Here is a 19,227-nt window from a genome sequence, read left to right as displayed (position 1 = left end):
TTGAAAAATGTTTTACCAGAATTGGAGAATTTAATTACATTTTCACAGTAAGCTAAAAGTGAATCTACCATGTATCTTGGAAACTTTGGGAAATGCAAAGAAGTCTCTCTAGATTAATTAGTATAATTAAAATAATATCTATAGCAATACCAATTATCATTAGAGATTAAATAGAAAATATTGTAAAAGAATGACAGATTATTTTCCTTTTAAACATTGTAATTATTTTGCCTTTTGATATTTTATGCAAAATTAAAATTTCAATGACTAAAAACTTGAAGTGGCCTTGGAAAATGATCAGTATAGCAAATACGTAGTTTTAAATCTTACCTTGTTAGCAACATTGGAAATGAAAATTATCTTTTCTGGAAAATCTAATGGCAATTATGCTTATTTGGTGTTTCTTCTTTGTTATCATCATCTTTATTTTTTTAGCACTATATATTTCAGTGTTCTTCTTACACAATGCCTTAGTTTGTCATATATTTGCTTTTTCAGCTCTGGCTCAAAAAGTCTTTTGCTTACTTCAAAAACAAATACACAGCGAGGAGAATACATATTCATGTATGTGTATGTTCATATGTGTGTGTACATCTGATACTTTCTAAATATATTCCATAGCCTCTGAAGATAATTTCTGTGTGATTACTTGGAAAGTGATTATATTAATCTGGATGTGTAAGTTCTAACTTTTTGTTAGAAAAAATCTAAAAGACTCTTTTTAGAAAAGTCCTTGTTACCACTAACATAACTCTCTTGCCAGGTGAGTTATGAAGGCATTTAAGATAACACTATTTTCAGTTGTTTCTTACTCCTTGAGTGGATGAGGAAGTTAGACTGTTGAATAGCTTAAAAAACTTTTGATTAGAAAAAGTCTAAAACTTTTAGGGCTAAAGCATCAAGTCTAATCAACATACAGAGAAAGGAAATCCTAATGGAAAAGAGAAAGGAAAAATTTGGTGGTGAATTTACTTCAATATTTTTCCTATGATTTGTATACAAATACATTCTTAGATAATTCTCAAAACCCAAATTAAACATCATAAAATCTGAGATTTAGATCTTCCACTGCCTACAGTTTTATCTTAAAATCTTGTTTCATTTCACATAATTTTCCACATGAAATTTGGGAGTAACAGTAACGTATGCATCGTAAAACCACTTTGAGGTGATGATATATGTTAAGCTTTTTTAAAATTTTTTTAAAAATTTTTTTATTTTAGAGATAGGCTCTCTCTCTGTTACCTAGACTAGAATGAAGCAGTGTGATCATAGCTCACTGCAGCCTTGAACTCCTGGGCACAAGTGATCCTCTTGCTTCAGCCTCCTGAGTAGCTGGGACTTTAGGCATATACCACCATGTCCAGCTCATTTAAAAATTTTTTTGTAGAGATAGGGTCTTGCTATGTTGCCCAGGCTGGTCTTGAACTCCTGGCCTCAAGTGATCCCCTCACCTTGGCTTCCCAAAATGCTGGGATTACAGAGGTGAGCTACTATGCCCAGCCACATTAAGCCTTTTGGAAATTTGCATATGACTTATTATTATCAGTATAAAAGTGCATTATTCCAGGTTCTGTATAATGTAGGTACCAAGATGACATTAAATGTGTAGAATGTTATTAGAAGAAATGCCTATGAGAGAAAATGGAGAGAGCACTGGATAAGGCTGAGAAATCTGTCAGACTGAAATGCAGGCCTGACCCAAATGAGGGAGGAAAGGAAGGTTGGGTGAAAACATCCTGGACCACTGTGAAGTCTAAAGATTTGGCAAAACTGTTGGTGGATTTTTGAGCCAAACTTGGCCATCAGAGGAGTCCTGTGACTCTCAGGGATAGACCTGCCTTAGTATCCTCAGACATTGGTGCTAACCTGGGGATGGATTTCAGAGCACAGTAGATGGTACCCATGGTCACTTATGCTCTTGGAGTTAGAGGTCTATGAGACACAATGTCATAGCTGTCCCCATAGGTATAATTGACATCATCCTTGTTGCTATCAACATAACCCCATTGCCAGAAGAGTTATGAAGACAGTGAAGTTGTCTGTTTTCAATTGTTCCTTCTCCCATGAGTGGATGGGTATGATGTTAGATAGTTGAATAGGCCTAAAAGCAGCACATAAGGTACCTCTGGCTGAAAATAGGTTAGATCTACCTCCAATATGTTTCTCATCTCAGAAGGGTTCTAGGAAGCTATTAAAAATTTGGTAGTATTTGGGCCAGGCGTGGTGGCTCACGCCTGTAGTCCCAGCACTTTGGGAGGCTGAAGCGGGCAGATCACTTGAGACCAGGGGTTCGAGACCAGCCTGGCCAACATAGTGAAACCAATCTTTACTAAAAATACAAAAATTAGCTGAGCATGCTGGTGCATGCCTGTAATCCCAGCTACTCAGGAGGCTGAGGCAGGAGAATCACTTGAACCCGGGAGGTGGAAGTTGCAGTGAGCCGAGTTCGTGCCACTGCACTCCAGCCTGGGCGACAGAGTGAGACTCTGGGTCAAAAAACAAAAACAAAAACAAAAAAAAACCCACAAAAATTTGGTAGTATTTGAAGTGCTGGCAATAAGAGGTGCTACGCACTTCAGATTTCCTGGTTAGTTACACCCAGCTCAACTTCCAAATCAAGGGATAGTTCACTTTGCTCTCAGGCTCCCATGTTTTTTCCAATCTTCATTCAACAAATTAGGGTTCTGTTTCCTTCTTACCGCTTAAAACATTGTATTATTGGCCCTGAAACCAAGAAGAGATTTTAGGCAGTTTAAAATACTAATTTTATTTCCCTGCCTCCTTTATGTTTCATCTTAAATATGCTGTTAATTAGAAAGTTTCCTGATCTTAAATTGAAGTGCTGACCTGGCTTTGAGACCATTCCGTGTGTTACATGCCTAGATGACGTTCCTAGTATAGAGGCTGCCACCGTTTGTGCTGATTTCAAGTGACAGTTCTGTGCAAAGTGCTCTGGATTTCTCCTTAATAACATGGGTGGATTCAAGCCCACACAGAATTCAGGCTGACAGCTGAACTCATCACTAGAAAAACCAGGAGCTCCACAAAGAGTCATTAATAATAGCCAATGTACAGTATTCACAATGTATGGCTCAGAAATGCATAGCTTCAACATGTCTGCTTTTGAAGACTGATTATAAACAGAATAACACTTTGCTCTGACTATAAATCATCTTGAGAATTTAATTGAATTCAAAGGTTGCTTGCATACACCATACAAACATGATCAAACTGCCCTACATGTTATGCAAAAACCTGTCTGTATGTTTATAGACATGTGCACATTTGTATTCTTTCAGAAGTTTGGGTTTGTTTTCTCACCAGAATATTCAATATTTTTTTGCTACCTTCTGCTTATTTGTCACTCTCCCAAATTCTGTACAAGTGTCACTTCCGTGCTGCATTTCCACGGAGAATGAAGAGTAGAATGTGTAGGCTTTCTGCTGCACAATGAGATGGTGCATTTTTTCAACATATGCATACGTAAGCCTTCTTTTGTGAATGGGACTGATAGGGTCAGATAATGTTTAAAGGGAAAGGCTTTATGTCTCTCAGGCCTCTATGTTTCCACATGGATGCCCCCACACACACATAGATTGAATTATGAACAGACCCATTAATGCTGGGATCACAAAAGGTCAAGTTTTGTCTTCTTTTACCCCTATTCACATTGCCTTTGTAGAGGAAAAAAAAAGGATTTGAAGAAAAAAAAAGATTCACGTTGAAGAATTTTAAAGAACACTTTCCCCCTTTTAGCAATATCTGTGATTGGGAAAAAAAATCATATTATGTAAAATAATTCATGAGTATTATATTACCTACCTGATTTTAGTATATGAGTTATTTCATGTGTAGAGTTGTCTTTTAGGATGACATGTTATCATAATAACTGAGAACAAAACATAACACTTTGGGGATAAAAGACCTTATGAATATGTAAAGTAACATCAAGTTTGAGTAAAACTGAATGGAAACATTATCAAAATGTCAGTGACAGGATTCTTGATATATTTTCTCCTGTGTTTAAGATATGTTAATCTTTGCTAGATACCTTGAGAGTTTTAAGTTATTTTTAAAAATCAGGTGATAATTGGTGTAATTTTGTTTCACATATGTTAACAGATTATCCTGGAGCCAATAAAAATAGTAGAGAAGGTTTCTGAAGCAACCAAAAATCTATGCCGGATGAAACTTTTAAGACTTTAGCCAATAGCCCTTTAGAGTGCAAATGACATCATCAATTGTATGGTTGGTTGATTTTTGATGTCACATGAAATCCCCTATCAGTGAAAGGCTATGGATTGTGACAGTAAAACCAGTCATGTATAAAAATGCCCTCAAATCAAAGTCTGAGTTTCCTCCCTTTTTTTGTGTGTGACTTGCTATAGCACAAGGTGCAGTACATGAAATTATAGAGAACATTATAATTGACTAGTGAAATACAATGCATGATACTTAGTAGACTTTAAAGACTGCATAACATTGTATCTTCCTAAATCACATGATGCTGGAGATGGGTTCAGAGAGGACCAGTATTTTTCGGAAATGGAGTCCTTCTATTTAGGGCCTTTCATTCTTGGATTTTAATTTCATCAGATAACCATAAATGCAAGCCACCTGTCCTGTATTGGTCTTTAGCTTCAAGGATGTTATACACTATTATCCATTGTTTTTTAAGGATAATACTGCTGGAGGGTAGTATGATCTGGTGGTGAAAATGAGGCTGAAAGCATAGACTAATACTGGATCATTTATTATTTCCATATTTTAAATATTACAACTTTCTTGTAGAATTAACAGTACTATGGAAAGCATGGAAATTCATTCCAAAAAGTAAGAAAAGGAGGATAACGAGAGAAACTTGTCACTGGATTTTATAGCCTATAAACACCATTCTTTTCTTTTTCACATCTTCTTTCTCTTTCTTCCCTTCTCATTTCCCCCAATCACCTTCTCCCTTTAATTTCTTCCTTCCTTTTCTTTTCTTTTTCTTTTCATTAATTTTGTTTTCTTTTTTTTTTTTTTTGAGACGGAGTCTCGCTCTGTCGCCCAGGCCGGACTGCGGACTGCAGTGGCGCAATCTCGGCTCACTGCAAGCTCCGCTTCCCAGGTTCACGCCATTCTCCTGCCTCAGCCTCCCGAGTAGCTGGGACTACAGGCGCCCGCCACCGCGCCCGGCTAATTTTTTGTATTTTTAGTAGAGACGGGGTTTCACCTTGTTAGCCAGGATGGTCTCGATCTCCTGACCTCATGATCCACCCGCCTCGGCCTCCCAAAGTGCTGGGATTACAGGCGTGAGCCACCGCGCCCGGCCTAATTTTGTTTTCTTTATCTCATTTTCTTTTTTCTGTTTCCCTTAGGATTCCTCCTGACCTCCCTGTATTGTCTCTGCCTTCCATTCCCATGATATCCAAAGTTTTGTCCAAATTTCACTGGCATGAGGGTCTTCCTTATGAATAGATGATAGAAATTTCTAGACTCTCATTTGAATTTACAGTTAAAGGCTGACTCTTAGTAACCTACTATATAAGTTATATAGGATTGTAGGGATTTAGTAGAATGCAATGTGTTTATCAGCTTTTGGTAGATTGTGCTGTATAAGTCAAGGAGCCCAATAGCTGAGTGACTTAAAACAAGTATTCATTTTTTGCTCACTTTACATGTTGGCTACTGGTTGTTTGTGGCTCTCACCAGTATGTCTTTCTCAGTCTGAGATACGGCTTGAAGGAGCAGTTTCTATTGGGACATTACTGTTTTCATGGGGTGGGGTGGGCAGGCGGAAGAGAGCAATGGCAGAACTGCACAATGGTTCTTAAAGCTTCTGCTAAGAAGTGGCATATGTTACTTCTGTTCGTATTTCACTGGCCAAAGCAAATCACATAGGAATTCTGATGTCACATATATGTCACATATAATACTAATAGAATTATTAGTAAAGAATGAACAATAGACAGCTGACTTTGATTAAGTGCCAGATGGTAATATCCAGGTACTAAGTGCTGGAAGGTCTGCTAGAGGAAGTGGGGTTTCTGATGAGTGGACTTGGATATAAGAGAGGAATGAGTCATAAAACTATGGCCTAGGCATCAAGCGACATACACTTTAATTTCAGTGCCAGTATTAATTATCTGAGTATCCTTGGCAAATTAACTTTTCTGGGATGCAATTTCCTCATTTGTGGGATCAGAGTGTTGGGTTAAACATTATCTAACTTATGATACTTTAGAAATGGAAGGGATGCGTGTATGTGTGTGCAAGGGGACAGTGAGAAGAGACATTTGGTTAGAGGAGAGGGGTCTGATGGGAATATGAGCCATAAAGCCAGGTAGAGATCAGATTATAAAGGGTCTTAGAATCTTGAATACCAAGCTCAAGAATCTGAAGGAGCAGCTAGGTGGTTTAATATACTTTTCAAGGTGGATGAATTTGGTGGAGGTGACCTAATGGCATGGAGGGGAAGAGATGGGAACAGGGAGACCGCTTAGTAGGTATTTTGTTAATCCAAACTGGGGAGGGGGATGAGGGGATTGAGGGCTATTACTTATAAGAAATGAAAGAATGGATATGACATATACATATTTAGAAGAGGGATCTGCAAAATATAGCCCTGGGGACAAATCTAGCCTGCAGCTTATTATTATTTTTTTTTGTAAATAAAGTTTTATTTCAACACAGCCATGCCCATTCATTTACATATCGTCTGTGTCTGCTTTCCAAATACAATTGTAGGGTTAGATAATTTTGACAGATACCTTATGGCCTACAAAGCCAAAAATATTTACTATGTGACCCTTTTTAAAACAAGTTTGCCAACACTTTGTTTAGAAGAAAGGATTATTTAAATGGAGTAGACAATTTATTACATAGGAACAAATAAGAGGGATATGGGAAAAGAAAGTAAAATAGGAATCATTTTAAGTTAACTTGTTTCTATGCATGTAACACTTGTAAAGGTCTTGGTAAAAGTCAAATGTAATTGAAATTTATATGTATACATATACATATAAACTTGAACTAAATAAGTAGAGTAGATAATACATTTAGGTCATATGAGTAATAGTGCACACTGGCTGTCACTAACTTCTCTGAATGCTCTGCAGAAGGGATAGAAATAATGGATTTAACATCAGAATTAGAATATAGGCGGGGCAAATACCATATTTTTAGCTGACAAAGAAGTGGATGAGATGTAAGTACAGGGAAGACTCTTGTAGAAGGATTTTCCATTTTATCTGTGAATATTGAAATGAGCTGTAGGATCTACACAGCAAATAGTTTGGAATTTCTGACTTCCTCATGTGAAATAGTGATAGAGATAGAAAAGATAGACCAAGAAATAAAAAATTAAAACTTGTTATGCAGAAAACACCTAGATTTCAAAAAGGAAACACTATAAAAATATACCAGTACATTGGCCACTTACTGTAGGTTAGACAGTGGGCTCTCCATTTTTTCATCTAATTTAATTATCAATATGTAAAGCCAGTGTTATTCTTCATTTATAGACAAAGATTTTATTACCTGTGCAAAGTCTCCCAGTCAGTAAGTGATGAATCCAGGATTTTAACCCACGTTTTCGATGTCAATGCTCTATTCAAACTTACTCATAATTCTAAATGGGTCTAATTTGTTTAATTTGAAGAATCACAGATGAGGTAGATTTCTGTTTTTCATCTCTTATGGTCACTACCATAATATCAACCAGTGTTTATGTAAGAATCCAGCCTACTAGAGAGAATATAAGTTTACATAAAACAGTGAAGAGTCAAAGAATGGTAATGATTCTTAATTTGTAAACTATATGGGTGAAAATGTTAACTACTGCTATTAATAATCCACAAGTAAGGCTCATATGTCTGTCTAAAATATACCAAGTAGAAGTCTAGAAATTTAAAAATCAAGGTTACAGATTCCTTAGCCTTTGGTGTTTCTGGAAAAACTATACGTTTTATTTTGACATTAATATATATTTAAAATATTTTCCAGAACAGAGCATTGTCTTTGAAGTTATATACATTTTAGAAAATTGTATCTATGAAATGTGGGAAAAAGTATTGGAATATTTGGGAGGAAGATAATAGGTTAACTTTAAAGGTCAACAAAATGATAATGAATTTAATATATATATTGAAAATTTAAATGTTACACATAATAAAATAAAATATTCTAAAAAGGAAGATACATGTAGTGAAATGAAATATTTGGTGGTAGGTTACATACATTGGATTATTTAAAGTCCTAGGAGGGTTTTATTTTGTTAAACAGTTTAAAAGTCCTTTGCAAACTTGTCAAATGTATATGTTTCTTTTCATATCCAGAGATATTTTTCATTCAACAATTGTAAAGGGCTACCTACCCCATATTACTGAAGTGAAAATGTTAGACATTTTTTCATAAATAAAAGTAGATGTAGGAATGTATATCTCTTTCATTGTTTTTACTTGAGGATAGATCTGTACTCAAATTCCTGTATTGAAGTCATTTTCCCCCCATCAAGCTAGGTACTCAAAAATCTAATAGGTGTGACATCAACAATTACTTCTCGCTAACAACTCTTGTAATTTAACCCCTTCAGGTGAGCAGGCTGATTGATGAATTGCAGACAGCTATCAAAAGTAACATAGGTCATCTCTGTAAACTTGGCCCCCAATTACAGGCTGAGCAGGAGCAATTCTCCTCTTATGTCTACCAACACATTAAAAGCCTTCCAGCAAACACGCTTGTCCCAGGAGGCCTGCAGCTTAAGGTGGGTGTCGTTCTGTGCCTCTCATTGGATTCAGCCAGAGCAGAAGCATTCTGCTCCATTTGAAAACACTTATAACAATGCCACTTAGCTTGAATTTCTTTTAATGTTGTCTTCCTCAAACTGGTAATATTACAAGTGGTGATATTATTATTCAGGAAACAGATTTTAAAAGAAAATACCTAGAGATCTTTGAAATGTGTATTTATAAGCTTTAACTAGTTTCCAATTCAGAAAAGTAATTGTAATGAAGGAATTTACTCATGTGAACATTTGCACACTTTTCCAAGAAACAAATTTTTCACAATGGTCATGGCATATTTCAGTTTCTAAAAATAACATTTGGAGAAATGGGCAAGCTTTAATAGTTGACAGACAGTGGCAATAGAAATTGAAGGTGAAAGGCCAGGTGACTGATTGATGTTCAAACTACATTTCCAAGGAAAAGCATCTGTATTGGATAAGTGTGACACATGTTGGAGTTCACTTGGTAAAATCAATACTTAAGAATATACTGGGAAAAAAGGTGAATTGGTTATTTGTCAGGACAAGATCGCTAAATGTCCTCTACTACTTTGCTATTGCATCTTTGAGAGAGATAAAGAACAACTCATACTTGGCTAAAGTGGTTTTGGTACTAAAAGCTTAGGGAATTTAAATACTTTTGATTTTCATAGCAGATATTCCATGTTAAGTTTGTCAAGTTAATATTGTCCTATAATTTCATATCCTGCATTTCAAGAGATTGTAGTTAGTAAAATTTGAATTACTCACAGTGTAGCCTATTTCCATTTAAGAAATCATGGTTACTACAACTCGTCATTTCCTTTTGATTATTTTTATGGGTATGTGATAACATTCGAAGTAAATTATATTTTGATCAACCTTCATCTCTGCAATTCCTCTTTCTTAATATTGTTTTATTCTGCAAGTAACATTAGAAACATTATATTTTTGACCAATAACATTTCTTTTAATGACATTCCCGTGTGTATTTTGAGTGAGAACATTACAATGTAAAAATGGACTTTTTGGGAAATGTAATTTCATGTTAAACATGATAATTTATTTCTCATAGTCTGCTAGTCAGCTAAGGGTTTAGGAAGTGATGTTCAAGACATCAAGGTCAAGGGTTTCTATAGTGCAGTAGCATTGTTCTTTTCCAGGTTTTTGACTTGATTACAAATCCATTCTGCAATTTTGCAAAGTACTTGCTATTGATTAAGAGAGAAACCAGGTGAGGGAGAGTGGTTGTTTTCTAGAAGGATGCAGCTGCTAAGAAAAAATAAAAAGGGATGGGGAAGTGTAGTTGCTTTAATGGCATTCATCCTACTCATTTGTATCAGCAGCTATTCGTATGAACTACGGTGTGACTTGGGGAAAAAAAGTGTTTTGTTTTCCCTCAAGTTCACTGCTTATTTCTGAAGAATTTCTATCACTTATACATATTGGCACATGGGCTGGGTAACAGATACTTAACTTTAGGGTCAGAATTGTCTCTCTCATATATACTCCCTTTTTTGCATTTTATTTTAATTTTAATTTTTTTTTAAGTTCTAGGGCACATGTGAAGGATGTGCAGGTTTGTAAACGTGTGCCATAGTGATTTCCTGCACTTATCAACCCATCACTTAGGTATTAAGTCCAGCATGCATTAGCTCTTTTCCCTAATGCTCTACCCCCCACCCAACCGCCCCTGATGGGCCCCAGTGTGTGTTGATCCCCTCCCTATGTCCACGTGTTCTCATTATTCATCTCTGACTTATAAGTGAGAATATACAGTGTTTGGTTTTCTGTTCCTCAGTTAGTTTGCTGAGGATAATGGCTTCCAGCTTCATCCATATGCCTGCAAAGGACATGATCTCATTCCTTTTCATGGCTGCATAGTATTCCATGATGTGTAAGTACCACATTTTCCTTATCCAGTCTATCATTGGTGCACATTTGGGTTGATTCCATGTCTTCGCTATTGTAAATGGTGTTGCAATGAACATACACATGCATGTATCTTTATAAGAGAATGATTTATATTCCTTTAGGTATATACCCAGTAATGAGATGCTGGATCAAATGGTACTTCCAGTTCTAAATCTTTGAGGAATCACCACACTGTCTTCCACAATAGTTGAACTAATTTACATTCCCACTAACAGTGTAAAAGTATTCCTATTTCTTTGCAACCTTGCCAGCTTCTGTTTTTTCTTGACTTTGTAATAATCACCATTCTGACGGGCATGAGATGGCATCTCATTGTGGTTTTGATTTGCATTTCTCTAACGATCAGTGATGTTAAGCTTTTTTTCATATGTTTATTGGCCACATGTACGTCTTTTTTTAAAGAAGTGTCTATTCATATCCTTTGCCCACTTTTTAATGGGGTTGTTTTTTCTTGCAAATTTGCTTAAGTTCCATGTAAATTGTGGATATTAGACCTTTGTCAGATGGATAGATTGCAAAAATTTTCTCCTATTCTGTAGGTTGTCTGTTTGTGCTGATGATAGTTTCTTTTGCTGTGCAGAAGCTCTTTAGTTTAATTAGATCCCATTTGTCAATTTTTGCTTTTGTTGTGATTGCTTTTGGTGATTTCATCATAAAATCTTTGCCCATGCCTGTATCCTGCTCTTTATTGCCTAGATTTTCTTCTAAGGTTTTTATAGTTTGGGGTTTTATAGTTAAGTATTTAATCCATCTGAGTTTTTTGTATAAGGTGTAAGGAAGGGATCCAGTTTCAATTTCCTCCTATGGTTAGCCAGTTGTTGCAGCACCATTTATTGAATAGGGAATCTTTTCCCCATTGCTTGTTTTTGTCAAGTTTGTCAAAGATCAGATAGTTGTAGGTGTGTGGCCTTATTTCTGGGTTCTGTATTCTGTTCCATTGGTCTACATGTCTGTTCTTGTACCAGTACCATGCTGTTTTGTTTACTGTAGCCTTGTAGTATAGTTTGAAGTCAGGTAGCATGATGCCTCCAGCTTTCTTCTTTTTTGATTAGGATTGTCCTGAGTGTACAAGCTCTTTTTTGGTTCCATATGAACTTTAAAATAGTGTTTTCTAATTCTTTGAAGAATGTCAATGGTAATTTAATGGGAATAGAATTGAATCTATAAATTGCTTTGGGGAGTATGGCTGGTTCAACATACGCAAATCAATAAACATAATTCACCATATAAACAGAACTAAAGACAAAAACCACATGATTATCTCAAGAGATGCAGAAAATCCCTTCGATAAAATTCAACATCCCTTTATGTTAAAAACTCTCAATAAACTGGCTATTGAAGGAATGTACCTCAAAATAATAAGACCTATTTATGACAAACCCACAGCCAGTATCATACTCAATGGGCAAAAGCTGGAAGCATTCGCCTTGAAAACTGGTACAAGACAAGGATGCCTTCTCTCACCACTCTTATTCACTCCCTTTTAATGTGCTTTAAAATACTTTCCATACCAGCAAACAAAAGAGGAAATTTACATATGCAAAGAAGCCATGTTGTTGTATTTGTTTAGATTCACTATGCTGTCTAGTAAAGTAGCCACTAGTCACATATGGCTACTTAAATTTTAATTTTAATTAATTAAAATAAAAGAATATTTTTCTAGTGGTTTCCCAGGACTTTCCTTATTTTAGCACTAAAAAGCCTGCATCCAGCAAACCAAGATGGTTGGTCACCCTGGTCTTTTCTCCAGAATTCTTTCTCCCACATCCCAGGCATTCTCTTTTTATGATTTTTTTCCCCTATAAAGTACTCAGCTCCATTTGCTTCTGCTTCCTCTCTTCTCAGGTTTCTCCTTTGCAACATCTAGCTTCTCTCAGAAAATAAGTTCCTCTTCCACATCTCAAGAAACCTGGATATCAGCCCCATTCTCAGGCTTAGAAAAATGACATGGCTGCATGTTAGAATATTCTGGAGGTTTTTTTTTTTTAAGATACCAATGTTTCCATCCACAGATATTTTGACTTAATTGGTTTCCTGTGCTAAGACTAACTTCTACCAGCTTGGAGGCACTGATTAAGTTTTCAGGAATTTTGTAAGCCAGTTGTTTTATATAGCCATTATTTAAAAATCATATGAATTTACAATGAAATAGGTCATACACTTCACTTCCTAATTTTTAAATTACATTTTACTATTACCTATTCTCTTGAAGTTATTTAGACCTATTGTGTTTGTTTAGTGTAAACACTATATAATAGTGTGTGCTACCGTGCATTTCTTCCTAAGTTTATTTTCAGGGATGGCTTGTTGTATCTGAAAATTGGTTGTGGTCAGAGTATTTATAAAATAGAAATTGGCAAATACTATAAATGAGGGCTTGATTTCATGTTTTATTGATTGTCTAGACTAGGGAGTTGAAATACCACACACTGTGGGCCAAATCTGCCTGTTTTTTTTTGTAAATACAGTTTTACTGGAATATAGTGACACCTTTATGTTTGTGTATTGTCTATGGCTGCTTTTATATTACCAGGCAGAGTGGAGACCATATGACTTGAAAAGCCTAAAGTATTTACTATTGGGCCTTTTAAAGAAAAGTTTGTTGATCTGTGGTCTAGATTTAAGTATGTGACAGAAAATATTCACAATGCAGATTAAATTCAAAAGTGCAAAATTTCTGTGTGTTGCATTGTGAATAGCACAAAAATTGAAATATTCTTTCAGTATATGGAAATCATTATCTGATTCAGCAAAGAACTTGCCCATGTCATTGATTAACAAGAGCGGTCCTACATATGTCTTCTTTCTTTCATTTTTGTCTTATCAACATGGATGAAAATATTAATCAACATTCGGGTCAGAACCACACTCATTTCTCAGTTGCAACCATAGGATGGATGTGGATACAAGACTTGGCAAAAATCAGTGAAACCACTCTTGAGAGTGAGTTGGCTATGTAGAATTTACAATAAAAAGTATTAGATATTTTATTATTATTTGCAAATTATATGTTATGTGATCCTTGTATCAGCAGAATTTATAATAATCACCCCCTTCCTTAAGCAGGTTGCTAAACATTTACCAGCACATCTTCAGGTGTGGTGCAAGCATCAGCATTTTTTCAAAAGCTCCCAAATGATTTTATTGTATAGGCAGGACTGACAATCATAGCAAGATTACCAAAGCAGCTTTTTAAGCATAACCAATAGCACCCCACAAAGAAATTCTCATTCCAATTGCTAAGTAGCTAAAACTTTTCTCTATACTTATATCTTAGAATTCGTGATGGTGGTGGTGGGAATTCTGTATATCCTGTCAGGTGGGGAGAACTTGCTAATTCCAACTGAAGACACATGGAGCAAAGGCCGCAGTGTACCATCTTGCATTAATTCCAGAATCAACTCATATCAGTTACCTAGCTAACCCTCTAAATTCCCATGGGTGTATATGGAATGGCCTACCTTCCTTTGGACACCATCTCTAACTCAGTTACCTCTGACTCACTGTGGGCAAGGGCCACATCTTTTCTGATTATGAACAACTTTATCCCACCTTGTGGCACGTACTATCATAGAGTGTTAAATGACTTATCAATAAACAAATATATTTTCCATTTATAACTGAACTTACTATAGCTTACATAGCCCTAGTAAAGCATTTTTCCTGTTTTCTGTTCATTTTAATCTTAGAAAGTATTTGACAAAAAATAAATGGGGATGATTATCTTTCTAAACTTCATTTCATGATTTTCATCACTCTGTTACATATATATGTAAGCTCACAGCTCAACTTCAAGAATCAAAATAATGTATTGTAGCCAACATCATCTTGTAGAGCAGTGGTCTCAACCAGGGGCTGGAGGCAGGGTGCAATTCAAAATCCTCTGAGCTGCTTTTTCATATTGTATATGGTGTTCTTAACCTCTTCACTGAGCTTTTCATCCTTATCACGTCTTGCATTGATCAGTGAACAACAGCAGCTTTTGGTTTGGTCTTAACGTTAGAAAATCACCTCTTAAAAGGACACTATTTCTGTGTTCCATATTGCCTCACTCCCATTTTTGCAATCATGTGACATAATACAGTGACAAGTTTAAATGGGCATACAAGATAAAAAACCGGGAGCAGCCTCTGTGTGGTTGCTCATTTCTGCCATAGGAAAGTTCCTTGTTTAAAAAAAAATGGAAACATAACACCATTTGAGGAATTTTAGGAAAGAGTTGTATCACCTGTAATTGCATTGTTCCTAATGATCATTGTCACCTTTCACGTCATTTTCATGTGCACTCGTATATTCTATATAGTCACAACCACAATTTATTTGTATTTGTACTCCAGTACATTCTCCTGCCATCAAGTCATAGCACCTTGTAAGTTGAAAATTTCTTACTGTTTTTACCATCAGTGGTTACACTCAATGTGCACCATCATCTACAAAGCCCTTCAGGCAACAAGTGTTTTGGAGCAATTTCTTACTATTCTAAACTTTCTCTTACCCCTTATTCCCTGTCACTGCCACTACCCCCAGTCTCTTTGAGAACATCTGCTAGAGCCATGGCTCAGTGACTTCTGCCTTCCTAGTCCTGTTCTTTCCATGCAACTCCTCCTCCTCTTCATCCCCATGGAAATGTCAGCAATGTTAGCATTTCCCTGGGAGGGCAGGAAAGAAAGGATTGCTGGGAAAGGGTATTAGCAAATCTGTAGGGGGATGGTGAGTGGAAAAGCTAGTAGGAAGGTGGGTGATTGTGACAGAGAATTGATGAGCAAGGAGAATGTGTGATGTCTGAGTAGGTGGGAGAAAGCATGAGGGAATGAGAGGAAGATGAGTACAGGCATATCCTTTCACTGGAATTAGTGAATTTCACACACAATTGGTCAGTGATGCTCTGAGAGTTGTTTTCTATTTGCTGCCAGTAGAGGCAGATCCAGTTTCTGTGGGACCTAGAGCTTGTCAAATTTGGGAGCCAGCTTGGGGTGGGGAGCTCTCTTTGAAATTAGGTCTGAAAGTGAATATTTATTTAGAATGAGAAAGTAAATCGCAACAAATCAATGGAGTGTTGGCAATTCAGGCTCTTTCTTCTGGGTCTTTTTTAGGCAGCTCATCAGAAATACTTACACAGAAGTATTTTATGACAACTTCCAGAACTCTTAGGACCTAGAATGACTCTAATCTTCATTAACTTCACTTAAATCCACTCTGACCATGAGCAAGAGAAATATGGTGGAATTTAGTAACCTGGATAATAACAAGATTCATAGCACTCTGATTTGGAGACATTTTTAGGCTTTCTATTTTTATATTGTTTAGTTATAGTGTTCTCTTCTATTGTAAGTAAATTTAAGCTTTGTTAAAGGGATAATTCAGAGATTTCTTTTTTAAAGGATGTCTTCATCCAGCATCTAGTTCATCATCCAGGTTGTATGCATCTAACAATTTTTATTCTGCCAATGACAGAAAGGAAGAAGATTTTAAATGAATAGTCCAGTAAATCCACATATTATCAAATAGCCTTGTCCAGAAGACATTGTGCTAGGAACTGTGGGAAGATGCAGAGAAGCATAGAACACCTTTTTGACCCAAGGCCACGATTATTTTCATACAATTAGAAACAATATGACAACACTATGAACAGATTAGCAAAACCAATCTGTTCATCTTCTTACCTTTTTACTACAATTCCATTATTTTAAGTTCCCAGGCCTCTTTACATTTTGAAAATGGGCTAATTTGGTTGGTAACAGAAAACATGTGACTTTCCTGTGCATTGAATACTTAAATTTATTCTTTGAATGGCACAAAAGCACCATGAAAGAAGTTGAGATTTGCCTTCTATTTTGTGGTCATTTTTAAAAAAGTTTAAAGTTTCCAATCATTCATTTGTATTAATAGAAAGCTTATTTTAATATTTAGGAATCTATGGAACAATTAAATGATAACTAAGGTCAGTTGCACATGAAAGTGTGACAAGATTTTTTTTGGTTGGTGTTTTCACTGTTCTATGTGCATATTACGTTATTTCCATTGTACATTCCTTGATCCGTGTCGTTCTTATTTAACCACTTTTCCTAAACATGTATTTATAACCCCTAGGATGCTCTGTTATGTCACCTAAATTATTTGAGTAAACAATGGGAAACAAATTTAGGATATGGCTTAGGTACAGTTAGTAAAACATGCCAACTTTGCGTTCATTTGAAAAGGAATTGTGGTGAGAGTAGCAAAATTGGAATATTCAAGGTTATTGTGATTTTGAGAACATTCACTAAAGGTTGGGCAAAATGTAATGAAGATGATCAATTTTCATATGTAGGTTTTACGATAGTAGGAAAATATTGGACTGCCCATTTTAAAGGTAAAGAAACAGATCCTACGAAGCCTTTACACATCTCATGTGATAGCTAATTAGCGGCAGGTGCTGAAATCTCTTGACTCTTCTTTGCAGCGCTCTTTTCCATCTTGCCACCACCTTTTCTTCCTCCTGTCCTCATTGCCCCACTCCTCCTCCTCTTTGTGGATTTTGGGGGGAAAATGCCAGTATATTCATACTACCTTATTTTCTGACAGGCATCTGCAGTCAGGTGTAAATCTCCGTAGGAAGATACAATCTTCCTTTTCAAGATGTGCTGAAGAGAAAAACTGCGTCTGTATCAAAATCAGGGAAGAGCAATTGGTCTGGGCATTAGCTCCCATGCAGTGCCTGTTATAATGAGACAGGCTTTCCCTGTGCAGGCCTGACATCCTAGAAGGTGCCCGGAGAATTGCCAGGTGGGCAGTCAGCGGGGAAAGTCCACAGGCCAGAGCTGTATTACTGTCCCAGCAGTTATTCGGACTAAATGCAACCACTGAACCTTACTGTTGCAGGCACACACTCTCTCTCAGTGAGATTGTCCTTCTCCATAACAGTTAATTTGTTTTTACCTCTCAATTAGCTTTTTCACGGAGTGTTTGATATGTTCAAGTTGCTGAGATTCCTTTCCTACATATGTTCCCGTCCCCTGGATTACCGACTGACATCTATGTTAGTCTGACTCACCATGAACGTTATCGAGCATAAATTCTTCATTTGAACATAAATGAATGCAGATTTTCTCGTAAGTGAAAATGGGGTGATGAATTTACACCTACTTAAGATTCTACCTAGTTTTGATTGTGTTTTATGATGAAAAAAATGGATTACTTCTTAAAATATAAATGTTTTATTATAGATAGTAAGCTTTTGTACAGCTTTTAGTTTCTCAGGATACTCATTCACTTTAGGGGAAAATTATGTTTACAGGCATATTTGATATAAAGAAATGAAACTGAATGGCAGTAAAAGCATACACTCTTTCCAAGGGTAAGAATATGATCTATAAGGCTGATAATTTGGGGAAAGTTTGATGATTTAGTTTATATTTAATCCTACAATGTTCATTTCTCCTAGTAAAATAAAATTTGAGGGGCACATGACTATGTTTTTCTCATCAAAAAAACACTGACTTTCTATAAAAATAAATATATTGGTGCCAGGAAACTCCAAAAACCTTTATTTACCAAGCTCTTTTTACAAAATACATCATACTCAGCTACTGACAGGACCCACATGCCTGATATTTTAATCCCGATTAAATATAATTTTAGGGATTAAGTTAATTTAGACAAAGTGAAATCCTTGTTGCAATTCTTCTTGAGATATTCCATTTATAAAGGGCTTTTTGAAATTACTTGGCTTAGGACATGACACGCAAGCAAATTTCCTTTGCCACTGTCTTCTGGAAAGTTTTAAACATTTTCATATATTGAACTTAGATTTGCAATTGGATACAAATTGATTTTTTGTTTTTTTTTTGCAGAAACATATGCCTTATTTTTTGTCAATAGTCACAGCAAAATGGGGTAAGACTATTTAAAAAAATACTATAAGAAAACAATGGAAAGTGAGTTTAGATACTTACAAGGAAGGAATGTGGGCCCACTCCCAAGATCACTGAGAAGCTGATGAGGGCCATTTTACAGGAGTCTCCTTTGGCCCTTCCTCTGCTCCAGCCCTCCATTAGGGCTGGCAGATAACCCAGGCTCTTATTACCACCCTTTGCTCAAAACTTGCTCTTAGGAAAGAGACATGCCATTCTTTGTTTTGAGCTAAGATAGTAGTTTAGAATTTTTTTTTTTTTCCTGAAATCAAAATTCTTTCTTGGAATCTACTATGTAAAATAGATAAAAGTAGGATCTACCCTGTTTGAAGCCAGGATAGTGGCTGCTTCCACATAGTCACTCATCAGATCTGATTCCCCGTGTGAAACCACTGTTGCCCAACCCCCTAATCCCAGCCTACCCTAGGCCTCTGAGGGGTACCAGAAAGCTGCGATTGAAAATCACAGCCTTAGAGGATCAATAACCAATGAGGCTGAATATAATTTCCCCTCATGCAGCTGTGGCATTTTAATTGTGACAAAGGAGTGAATCTCTAACTGAAATTTCAAGTATTGGCAAGTTGGTGGGAGAGATATTTTGAGGTTAGAGTCTTTGGGCTCCCTTCTAAAATCCTACCCTATAGGCAGCCA

At 36.2% G+C, this 19,227-nt stretch overlaps 1 protein-coding gene across 23 annotated transcripts in view, besides 1 other annotated feature; it reads left to right on the top strand.

Moving 5' to 3' along the window:
• DCDC1 (doublecortin domain containing 1) overlaps positions 1 to 19,227 on the top strand; it is a 506,137-nt gene that overhangs the window by 233,522 nt on the left and 253,388 nt on the right. For 21 of the 23 annotated variants that reach the window (NR_170625.1, XR_002957144.2, XR_002957145.2 and 18 more), the window contains one exon: positions 8,579 to 8,749. Coding sequence is in view for 20 of the 23 variants with exons in the window: in XM_024448478.2 (XP_024304246.1) it covers positions 8,579 to 8,749 (171 nt within the window). In the remaining 3 variants the exon portion in view is untranslated. Of the gene's footprint in view, positions 1 to 498; positions 930 to 8,578; positions 8,750 to 17,613; positions 17,728 to 19,227 lie in introns of those variants that run through there. The other 2 variants (XM_024448488.2, XM_024448489.2) reach the window with 2 other exon arrangements.
• Positions 11,866 to 12,367: an enhancer, noted in NCBI's record as "NANOG hESC enhancer chr11:31145398-31145899 (GRCh37/hg19 assembly coordinates)". NCBI's record gives its function as "activates a minimal SCP1, AML or CMV promoter by ChIP-STARR-seq in naive H9 embryonic stem cells {active_cell/tissue: H9 hESC(naive)}" and the evidence as "EXISTENCE:reporter gene assay evidence [ECO:0000049][PMID:30033119]".

The sequence above is a fragment of the Homo sapiens genome, chromosome 11, assembly GCF_000001405.40.
Source record: "Homo sapiens chromosome 11, GRCh38.p14 Primary Assembly".
In the NCBI taxonomy this organism is placed as follows: Eukaryota; Metazoa; Chordata; class Mammalia; order Primates; family Hominidae; genus Homo; species Homo sapiens.
The sequence above is the reverse complement of the archived record's forward strand: the minus strand, read 5'-3'. Positions and strand labels throughout refer to the sequence as shown.